This window comes from Homo sapiens, chromosome 9 (genome assembly GCF_000001405.40).
Source record: "Homo sapiens chromosome 9, GRCh38.p14 Primary Assembly".
Taxonomy (NCBI): Eukaryota; Metazoa; Chordata; class Mammalia; order Primates; family Hominidae; genus Homo; species Homo sapiens.
In genome coordinates, this window is record NC_000009.12 from 5,911,568 (window position 1) to 5,923,783 (window position 12,216).

Here is a 12,216-nt window from a genome sequence, read left to right on the forward strand (position 1 = left end):
CTCTGTTGCCCAGGCGGAGTGCAGTGGCACATTCTCAGCTCACTGCAACCTCCACCTCCCAGGTTCAAGCTATTCTTGTGCCTCAGCCTCCCGAGTAACTGGGATTACAGGTGTGTGCCCCCATGCCCAGCTAATTTTTGTATTTTTAGTAGAGACGGGGTTTCACTATGTCGGCCAGGCTGGTCTTGAACTCCTGACCTCAAGTGATCTGCCTACCTCAGCCTCCCAAAGTGCTGGGATTACAGGCACGAGCCACCACGCCCAGCCTGTAGGTCTTTTGTGGGCTATCCTCTTTGGCTATTCTGGGACTTTGTGATTCTATATAAATTTTAGGATTATTTTTCTATTTCTATGAAGAATGTTATTGTTACTTTGATAGGGATTGCATTGAATCTGCAGATTGCTTTGGGTAGCATGGATGTTTTAACAATAATTGAGTCTTTCAATCTGTAAACATTGAATATCTTTCTGTTTTTCTGTGTTCTCTTTGATTTCTTTCTTCAATGTTTTAGTTTTAATTGTAGAGATCTTTCACTTCTTAATTCTTAGATATTTTATTTTATTTGCAGCTATTGTAAATGGGATTACTTTCTTGATTTTTCAGGTTGTTCCCTGTTGGCATACAGAAATGATACTGATTTTTTAATGTTGATTTTGTACCCTGCAACTTTACTGAATTTATCAGTTTGAATAGTTTTTTGGTGGAGTCTTTAGGTTTTTCCAAATATAACATCATATTATCAGCAAACAAGAATAATTTGGTCTTCTTTCTTCCTAATTTGAATGTCCCGTCTCTTGTCTGATTGGTTTAGCTAGGACTTCTACTATGTCACCACTGAAGGTGACCCTAACCCATCTAAGAACACTTGGATTATGTGGGTTGGGGTGGGGGGTTGGGGAACGGGCCTTGAAGAAAATTCATGAAATATTAAGACATTGCCATTCTGATACTGAAATCCAGGGCTGTTACTTTACATATTTGTTGAGACCCTTCAGTGTTCTGTAACAGCCTGGACTGACTTAACACAAATGAGGAGAGGAGCCTTCAGGAAAGGGAGATCCTTGTGACCTTTGTAGATAGATAGGATGAGGCTTCCCTGCTGCTGAAGGAAACCTGAACTCAGGAAAATGAGCCTCACCCATAAGCATGGGCACAGGAGTCCTCTACTGCAGCGTGCCCTTCCTTTTTGCCCTGACATACCTGTGGGCTGGGAATGGGTAATGGCATGGCACTGCTTTGATCCCCTAAGCTTCCTGCAGGCCAGGGTAGGGACTAGAGTGACCAGAGCTCATGGCTGGTCTCCTCTGGCTGCAATAAGCATTTTCCACTTGCCCATATTCACTGTACAAATAATAGTACTTTTATTTGCATGGTGAGCAAAGTTAGAGAGTATTGTTTTATAGAACCTGGGGTTCCCCTTCCTGTCCAGCCCTCAGTGGTGGTGACTGATGCTTAAGACAAGGCTCAAGTCTCTATGCATTTCCCTGCAAGATTCTGATATGGTCTCTCTGATTGTTTTTATAGTAAAGAGCAGGCATACTTTAAGGAGGGAACAAGAGCTAGCCAAAAGATTTTCTGCCCAGGTTAAAGTCAGTGAAAATTTAGACTGATTATACAAATCAATGAAGCCTTCAAGTTATCTCTGGTGGAGACCAGTCCTCTGAAGTCACAAATGTTAAATTTAGCATTTAGTAAATATCTGGACAGGTTCACTTGTCACTTGAGAATATTGCAGACCTTCTCAAAAAAAGAACAGAAGGGAGTCTCTAAACTTTCATTTCACAGTTCAACAGTTACATGATGATGCATCAAAATCTGTCAATCTCAAGTAACCGGCGCCAAAAACATCTTTAAAGTGTCTCAAAAGAACTTTCAGAAGGAAATAATGGGTTGTTTGGATGAAAACACTCATTTTTAGGAAAATCTAAAAGCGCTATCCCAAGAAGCTGTGAAATGGAATAAAAAGTGTGAGAAACGGAGGAAAAAAATGCTTGACAACTTGAAAACATAAAGAGGTTGTAAAAGAGAGCCCTTTAAAATCTCTTAAATCATATGGAAGGTGATACACTTGCCTGTCTTCTTTAGCAAAAATTACATGGATGATGGCAACTTGAAATCAGACAAACACAAATCAGAAAATTGAGAACTTCTAGGTAAATCAAAAAGCAATTTGAAAAAATACATTGATGCTGTTAAATGTTTCCTTAAAAAGGCTTGAAGGAGAAAAACAAGGACTATTAAAAAGAAAATCAAATAAATCACTTACAGTTCAAAGAAATGGTCTCCCACCTGAGTAAGCATCTTTGTAGTCTAAAAATGCAGCTCATATGAAAATATCAGCTGTGTAACATCAGAAGCATGACGCCTACAGGAAGATGGCCTCGAGAAAGTCTTGGAAAGAAGCACTTTCTGCTATCAAAACTTGATCATTTCCCATGAGAAAAAATGCTCAAGAAAGTTGGATGGCAGCTTGGCACACTTAAGAGAAAGCTCACTGAAATAAGAAAAGAAAATGATCACAATAGACAAAGTTGACTAAAGCAGTTTAAATTTCAGGTTTTCCCAAGTGGTTCCTGCTGTTCCACGTGCAGGGGATCCCATGCATCATCATGTCTGCGAGGAAGGTTAAAATTGTAAGGGCTTACACATTTGGGTCACTAGGTTTGGTTCAGGTTTACAGCAACCAACTCCTAAATATATACTGGAGGACACCTGACCGTGTTTTCCTTACTTAATAATTTAATCTCTTTTTATTGTTTTTTCTTAGTTGATGGTACATTTGCTTAAATTCAAGCCTGAAAGAATTACAATTCCTAAGATGGTGTTTTACAAATCCAGATGGTTTTTTTTTTTTTTTTTTTTTTTTTTTTTTTGAGACGGAGTCTCACTCTGTCACCCAGGCTGGAGAGCAGTGACGCAATCTTGGCTCACTGCAAGCTCCGCCTCCCGGGTTCACGCCATTCTCCTGCCTCAGCCTCCCGAGTAGCTGGGACTATAGGCACCCACCACCACGCTCGGCTAATTTTTTGTATTTTTAGTAGAGACGGGGTTTCACCGCATTAGCCAGGATGGTCTCGATCTCCTGACCTCGTGATCTGCCCGCCTCGGCCTCCCAAAGTGCTGGGATTACAGGTGTGAGCCACTGTGCCTGGCCAAATCTAGATGGTTTTAATAAAATTCTTGACTATTTTTTAGATCATTCCATGAGACTCCCAGAATTAGATCCATTTAAGTACTGTATTTAGGCTGAATTAAATGGTTCACTATTATGTAAACCATAATTGAATTTTGTACGATCATGGAGAGACACAAATCAATAAAGGCCATTTATATATGCTATGAACTGTTACAAAAAATGTGAATAACAATATGTACCTCAATAAATTTAGGTTTAATAAAGAGAACCCCGCCAAGCCCAACAAACAAAAGAACAAAACAACAATAACCCCCAACTAAATTTATTAGTATTTTTATTAGTTTAGCACTAAATTAATAGATTTAGGGGAGGTAACACTTTGTTCATGATATTATTTGCTATTTAAATGTTTCTAAATTTTATACAGTCAAAAATAAAAGTTTTCCCTTAAAAAATACCTTTCTTTATCCTTCTCAATCTCAACAGTTTCTGTCTCATCTCTAGCATTACTAGATACCTGATTATGCCAAATATCAGGTCTTCACACCACTTTTCTGGCCCACCTAATATCCTGACTGGTCTCCCTGTCTTTAGTCAGGTGAATGATGGCAGCTACTATTTAAGTATTTACTATGTGGTAGGCACCGGGCTAAGTACTTTAGGTAAATTATCTCATCTAACTTCACAGCAATCCTGCAAGGTAATTGTCCCCATCTTAAGTTTGACTATTACTACCTTTGCTTCAAAAGCTTCAGTAGTTCCCCCATATACTTTCGAATATTCTTCAGTCCTCTATCAGCTAGCTCAACCTATTTTTATAATCATTCCCTATGGGTCCTCTTAACCTATAGCATTTCATTCAAATTCAACTGCTGTGTTCCCTACATGCTCCTTGGGCTTTTCTGAGACTCAGTCTTTGTGGGCCCAGTTATAAACGTACTTGCAGTCATAGCACAAATGCCACCTCTTACATGAAACCTTCTCTGGAAACTCCCTGCTAAATTCTTATAGTTCTTTATTCCTCTAACTTATTATTATTTTACTATTTTTTGTATTGAGGACAGAATGGAATCCTACTCATCTATATCGTTCCTGCAACATCTTCTACATTATATGGTTCTCAAGAAGTGCGTAGAATACATTTACAACTCTGGTAGATGCCTTGAATTTGTTTGATAATTACTTTAAGAATGTTTTACATGCATCATTCTTAAAGTAATTAAGATGATTACATACATCATTTGATTCTCTAATACTTCTTCATACATTTTTAACTATATGTTTCTCACATTCACATTTTCTCTCCAGGTTGTAAGAACCTTCTAAACTATGCTATACCCTTCAACTTTTCTAAGCCTCAAGCACCATGCTGTGGATAGTAAATGCTTGCTGAATAAATGTGTAAGAATAACTGGGGCAGATGACAACATTATAGTAACAATAAGCCAATAAGCTCAGATGATGGCAAAACTACTTCTGGAATGACTTCAGGTAAACTGTTTATCATTTCTAAGTTTTAGTAACTTTGGCTAACTAAAATCCCTATCAAATTTCTTAGATCTCTTTCAGAATTTGCCACTTTCTCAAGCTTTTAATGTTAAAAAATTCTAAATTTAGGTTGATCTACTGGATCAAGCAAACATTTCCACTGATTTTAGTGTACATATTCTAGCTATCACTACTTTAATCATAAAACTATTTCAATTAATTATTAAATACACCAATAAAATTGGAGACTTGGGACTTGAGCAGGACTTCAGCTATTTAGTATTACACATGTATGTGTGTATATATATGTATGTGTATATATACATATGTGTGTATATATATGTATATATAAAACTAATCACTATATATAAAACATATATAAAACATATATAACATATATATAAAACTAATCACAAAGGAAAAACTTTTTGTGAGGGCAGGAAAAACCATAGGAAATGAGAGGAAAGGGAAGTGCTAACACACCAGAAGGAGGCAGGCTATTTCAGCATCTTTTAACTTAGTATTTTAGGTGATACAGAACACAGATATCCAAATGGCTTAATTCTATACTAAGTATAAAAACATGACTCTCCAGTATCATGAATCTTTTCAGGTGGCATTGTGGTGACGTTTCTTCCTTTTCATGTATGCCTTTATAGACGCCCTTTACAGAACCCTTAATAACACTAAACACAATGAATTCAGGAATTTAACTTTGTGCTCTAGCCACGATCTCAGAAATCCACATGACCTACAAAACTGGAGGCAAAGGAATTTGGGTTTTTGAAGATATAAATCCATTAATCGAATTTCTAGTTTAAAAAATGGAGCATTAGTTTTAAAAAGTAAACTAGACCTTAAATAAGAGGTTATCTAGATTTGTCACCCACCTACTCAACAAATATACATTGAATACAGTGTGCCAGGTGCTGGCACAATAATGATGATGATTGATAAGGTTCCTGAAATTAAATAATTTCAAACAAGTAATTATAGTTTTGAAGAAGTGCTATGTTGTTCTCAGTCTGAGTGACTGCACAATATAATAATGCTGGCTGAGGTATGACAAGGACAGGGAGTTACATAACACGTAATAAGAACCTGTAATGGAACATTAGGTCAAAGAAGACATCTGGGAAGACCTTCAAGTGTCTTGAATTTTCTAGAAACTAAAAGAAAATTAGAGTACAGTGAACAAGAGGGAGAACAGGTTGAAATGAAGCTGGAGAGGTAGGCAGGAACAGACTGAAGAGCTTTTAAAACTTTAAGTGGGGACTTCAGTACGAAGGTTCACCAGATCACACAGAGCTATGAAGGTCATATTAGAATTTTGGATTTAGGAGTTAGAAGAGATTTAGTGGCTGGGTGCAGTGGCTCACACCTATAATCCCAGCACTTTGGGAGGCCAAGGTGGGCAGATCACCTGAGGTGGGCGGATCACCTGAGGTCAGGAGTTCGAGACCAGCCTGACCAATATGGTGAAACCCCATCTCTACTAAAAATACAAAAATTATCTGGGCTATGGTGGTGCACACCTGTAATCCCAGCTACTCAGGAGGCTGAGGTGGGAGAATTGCTTGAATCCAGGAGGCAGAGGTTGCAGTGAGCTGAGATAGCACCATGGCACTCCAGCCTGGACAACAGAGAAGACCCCGTCTCAAAAAAAAGAGAGAGATTTAGTGGTTAGTTTAGGTCCTTCACTGGGATTAAAGTTGGGCCATAGGTAATTCAGTAAATTAGTTTCTTAAAATGGCTTAAGAGAATTCTTCTGAGACAAAAGGCAAACAGTTTTGGGTCATTTTGTTTTAAAAGCTGAGTAGGTAAATACAGCCATTTGTTGAGCACCATCAATGCGCAATGCAATGCACTTGAAATATCACCCACTTCCCCAGGGCTTTCTTAACTGACAGAAAAACGGGGAGAGTGACTTGAGTAGAGCATAAACATGACTAGGAAAAGTACTTAGAGCATAAATAGCGGTTTCTGAGAGCCTTTAGTGACTTTCTAGGAATATTTTCACTACCCTCTCCACTTTGATAACAAATACACTTTGATGTAGTCTCAAAGGAAATCTTTAGGCCTATGCTTCCATATCATTTCCAACCCCCAACAATAACTTCATGTGATGAAGTTTAACAACATTATAAATGGAAGGATGAGTATACAGTTCAGTAGCTCAAGATAATGGATATAAAGATCCAATAAATATAAAAGCTACCTTTTATTTAAAACGAGGCATATTCTTGGGTGCGGTGGCTCATGCCTGTAATACCAGCACTTTGGGAGGCCAAGGTAGGTGGATCTCTTGAGACCAGGAGTTCAAGACCAGCCTAGCAACATGGTGAAACCATCTCTACAAAAAATTAAAAAATTAGGCATGGTGGCCCATGCCCGTAGTCCCAGCTATTAGGTTAGTGAGAAAGTAATTGTGGTTTTTTGCCGTTAGTGGCTTTTTTTTTTTTTTTTGCCATTAGTGGCATTAGTGGCAAAAAAACCACAATTACTTACACACCAACCTAATACTTGGGGGGCTGAGGTGGGAGGATGGCTTGAGCTCAGGAGGTGGAGGTTGCAGTGAGCTGAGACTGCACCACTACACTCGAGCCTGGGCAACAGGTGAGTCAAAAAAAAAAAAAAAAAAGGCATTTTCTGAAACACAAGATTTAAGTGAAAGTAGTATTTGTAAGCTGGAAAGCCATGTACAAGTGCTAGCTCTAATTCAAATTTCCCACCCTTAATTCTTTCTTGTAAAGGACTGTCTTCAATTACATCCTGTATTCTTTCAATGGAACAAGAACACACGTTAAAAATGGTATTCAAACAAAGAAATACAGCAACTCAGTTTATTACATGCAGATTCTTCTGCATTGTTGCTAACAGTTCACTGGTCCAAAATTACTAAAATACTTAAAAAACTATACATTATGTAAACAAAACATAAATAAGACAGCATAGTTCTTTGTACATATATTTAGTACAGGTTGTTAGGGATTCTGGAATATGTACAATTTTACATCATGGACTGCATTTTTCACAATGCATAAATATATATATGTATTTTTTTTTTTACAGAAACAAAAATAAGATTTCACTAATGACACTGAATACCATATCATAGATATGCTGCAACAGTCCAAATTCAAGAAGAAACATGTCAATGTAAATGTGCAAAAGGCTAGCTTACTCTAAACTATTCAAACTTTGTTCACTTTATGTTCTACAGACAGGTAAATCCTGACTTTAAACACAGAACCTTGAAACCCTCCTCAGAACAGTAAGTGAAATGGAACAGATCTTTCCCTCCCCAAGAAAACAAAGCCTTGTTGCAAGCTAATGAAAAGATACATTAAAACACACACACACACACACACACACACACACACACACACACAATGTATAGTATGCTTTCAACAGTATAATAAACATTGAAAATTTTTATGGGAGTCAAAACAATGCCCCATTATTTAAAAACTGGCTCTTTTAGTCTAAATTCAAGATGCAGCTCTGTCAGGCTTCTCTAAGCCCGACGACTGAAAAGCAGGGAAGACAGACGCAGGACTTCGACTGGCAGATACAACAATCTGAGAGAGAGATGGAGAGAGTGAAGAAACCTTAGATGCTGGAGTATTTATGGTATTCAAAATGGCTCCTTCTGGGCTAACCAACAATTTTTTGACAGGTGGGTCCAAATGAAACACTGAAGTGCTACTTGGCAGTGGAGGATTACTGGGGCAAATGGCAGAAACCAAAGATGTCTTAGCCAAAAGAGTAGCTGGAGACTTAATTACTGAAGTCAGTGATACTGTTGGTACAGGAGGTGGAACAGGAACCTTAGCAGTTGTGTTTATGAGTTGTGGTGATGTATGTACTGTGGGTATAGAACTTGCATTCCCAAAAGAGTTTATAAATTTTGTAGGGCTTCTTAGAGGATGTTGTAGAGGTTGGCCACTTAAGGAATTATTTGATGCTAGTGTGATCTTCTGGGCAGAGTTATCTATTGGTGTAGATTGAATGCCTTGGCCACTGTTAAGAACTAAGGGGGCTCCATATTTTGGATTAGTAGATATAAGGAGAACATGGCTGCCAGCTCCAAGACCTTGTGGTGGAACAATAAACCGGGTTCCGTTAATCATAATCTGAGTACCAGGTGCCAAAGGTGTACTGGTATTGATGACTATTTTTTGCTGAATACAAGGTTCACTGAACTGACTCCCGACTAGACTAGTTACATTGGATGGTGCCGAAGCCGTGTGAATGGTAGTGCCACCTGGAGCAGAACTGTAACTGGGGGTTTTTACTAAAGCTTGCTGATTTGGCAGAGAAGCAAAATTGGACGTATTAGTTATTTTACCTGGACTTGTTGAAAGGGACGACAATTCAGTTTGAGGTTTATTTGTGTTTACATTTGTTGGCACTGTAGTTGAAATCCCTGGTGAATGGAACTGGAGTGAAGTCCGAGATTGTCTTTTAGAAATAGATACAGAACGTGTGGCTCCTGGTACTGCTGCCGAATGTGGAACTGTGTTTATTATTTTAGGGGATGTAGTCGCAGGTGTAGGTAAGGCAACCGTAACAGGAATTTGCAAAGCTGATGTTAAACATTTAGGAGACACTACTGGTTGTGTAGTTGAAATCAGAACAGATGATGCAAGGTGTCCTGTTTTCACAGTTGATATAGCCACAGTGTTTCCGAGACTTGATGAGCAAAGTCTATTTGACAAAATAGGCATAATTCTTGAAGAGGTATCATTTCCACTGACTAAAACAGGAGGTTGTGCCCCAGCTGAAGCAGAGGCTGAGGTCACTGGAAAGGAACCCAAAGATAAATTTGCTCCGGTAACTGAAAGCACATTTACTGCTCTTGCTGAAGAAACCACTGATTCATTAACAGGGGTAATATTCTGACTCACAAAATTTGAGCTTACTGGAACTGAATTACCACTTGTTGACAATGGCAAAATATAGCCCTTGCTACTTTTGTCTTCTCCTTTTGGGGTTACATTTTGTAATATGTTAATTGATGGTATAGCTGGCACAGTGCCTGAAGTATTTACAATTGCTTGACCTATGTTTAGTCCAATTTTCACATCCTTTATCTGAGACACAGCTGGTGATGAATTTATTTTTATTGGTGTGCCCACTGTAGACGGAATCAGTACTATTTGGGGTTGCTCTGGAGTCTTAACATATGCTTTATGCAATGGAGGAGGAAGAGTTTGTTTTAATGATTCTGCAACAAGAGTTGGGGTTGATGTACCACTAGGAACTGGGGCATTAATAAAAACTAATTTCTGGGCAGAAACACCTGTAGATGTCAGCGCAGGTGTCATATTAATTGCAGTTCCATTGCCAGAAGAAAGAATAGATGGAGCTGATACCAGCATAAGTTTCTGAACTGGAGTCCCACTGATTACATCTCCATTTGTTGCTGCTGTTGCTTCTGACCTTGTAACAGGGTAACTTTTTGTGATATAATCTACTTGTTGCTGTTTAGTTGGAGTATGAATAATATTTGCATTGTTTTGTCCAAAATTTGCTGCTGATATGCTAATTACACTTACCGAACTACTTGTTGTTGATGGTAGTAGAGTACTAGAACAAATAGAGGACTTCAAGGGAGAAGAGGGCATGTGTGAAGTTTTATCTATCACGTGGCCCAAATCACCACTGCCAGTGGTGTGGCCTAATGTAAGTTTGAGATTTTTCCCCATGGATGGGGCAAAGCTAGCTGGAATGGAAACAGAAGTTGGTGTTTGGCTAAAAGGTGAAAGACTAGATGTAGTAGTTGTTCCAGCTACAGGTGAAAAAGCAGAGGAAGAAGTTGTTGATTTTGGCACCAGAAATGCCTGCAGCTGAGGAGCAAAAGTGAAAACTGAACTTGAAGATACAGTATTGGGTGAATTTTGATCTGGGTTGGTCTGTACTTTTACAACTCCAGTGTTCCCACCTCGTGTCCTAACAAGAATTGACTGTGAATCTCTTATGCACACAGTTTTCAGCTCTTGCTTTGCTTCAGAAGAATCAGCAGTCTGTTGTGCAAAACAGTTGAAGGAACTACCAGGATTTGTAGACCCATTTAGTGTTGTTGTTGATGACAGAGGCTGACCTGTGGAGGAAATGGTCGGTGAAGCACTGGGCAAGGAGAATGTGGCTGCTGAAACTGCATTCTTGGCTTTTCCTGCCTCACTCTGGCTAGTCTTAACTGATGGTGTTAATAAGTTACTTACAGAGGTTACAGGCGACAAAGGCTGTGGTCTAGCACTACTTATATTTGATAAAGGTGTAATTGTTTTGTTGAAAGCTGTATTTGGTAGTTGGGTAGAAACAGTTCCTGGTGAGTTGACAAAAACTGATGCTAAAGAAGAATTTATATTTGTTGTCTGTGGGAAAGATGAACAATGTTGTTCTGTACCTTTCTGTTGAAGTGGTGGCACTTCTTTTGCAACTGCTTTTCCTTCTTTATGCTGAATCACAAAATTCTTAGGCAGAATAAGAACTTGCTGCATGATTTTTTCTCCTGTTTTAGGATCCACCATAGGCTGCACCTGAATCTTTACAGAGCTATTTTGAAGATCTATTGGCAACCACTGGCCACAGGGCATTTTGTATACCATTTGTAAAGGACCTTTTGTATTGGTGTGGCAGGTCAATGCTGGCTTTATCGGGCTTGCTTCCGGAGGAGATAAAACTGGTTTTTCCACAGCAAGAGCATTTCTACCTGTGGAAGGAGGCAGTTGATTTGTTAAGGTCACTTTATTCCCAATATTCTTTGCAAGCAAAGCCTGAATGGGTTTGGTCCCTTTCTGGAGAGTAGACACTGGTACTGAATCCAATGAGGCAAATGACTCTGGAAATGATGGCTCTGTATGCTTTGATTCACTGAAACAGTCAATCTGCACATCACTTTCTAGATTCTCAACTGTTGTCTCATTTGTGCTTAACTTTGCCTTCTTCCTTGGAGAAAGCTCTTTTGTGCTGTCATCCACATAATCAGTTTGTTTGGACTGTCGTTTAAGTGTTTTAAGCAGTGTCTTCGGTAAGTCTTTTGAAGGCAATTCCTTTTTCAACAGCTTGCTTCTAGCCATAGGAAAATCTATTTCTGACAACTTCATATCATCTGAAAATTATAAAAACGGGCATTTTGTTTATATAAAACAGCAACTAAATAGTAATAACATCAACTGTAAAAAAGAAAGTCAATCTTTGAGCTGGCAGTGTATTAAGAAATCTACTGCAGGGTGATTCAAAAGCCTTAGCACCACTGATGAAGACAAAGGTAAGGTCATCTTTGACATGATAATCTAGATATCATAACCATGCCCAAGAAAAACCTATTATTGAGAAAATTTTTTTGGTCAAAATTTTTGGTCAAGAATTCTGCTAATTCTTCTGCCAGTGTAAGTGCAAAAAACTGTTTCATTAGAAATACCCAAATAAACAATCAGGGCTCAGAATTTAATTTGCAAAGGAATCTAGTTCTCTTTTTCTAGCTAGGAACATTTTGATACCATAGAGAGATGGTTCTCCAATCTATTCTATTTCTAGAGACTCTAAAGGACAAAAAATATCCAGCTTTTACTGATGTTCATCC

At 38.5% G+C, this 12,216-nt stretch overlaps 1 protein-coding gene across 15 annotated transcripts in view; it reads right to left on the reverse strand.

Annotated features, from left to right (window-relative positions):
- Positions 1-12,216, reverse strand: part of BRD10 (bromodomain containing 10) — a 129,649-nt gene that overhangs the window by 32,734 nt on the left and 84,699 nt on the right. For 5 of the 15 annotated variants that reach the window (NM_001438917.1, NM_001017969.3, XM_047422860.1 and 2 more), the window contains one exon: positions 7,455-11,742. In NM_001438917.1, the coding sequence (NP_001425846.1) occupies positions 8,117-11,742 (3,626 nt within the window). In that variant the 3' untranslated portion in view covers positions 7,455-8,116. Of the gene's footprint in view, positions 1-1,338; positions 2,496-7,454; positions 11,743-12,216 lie in introns of those variants that run through there. The other 10 variants (XR_007061251.1, XR_007061252.1, XM_011517760.4 and 7 more) reach the window with 5 other exon arrangements.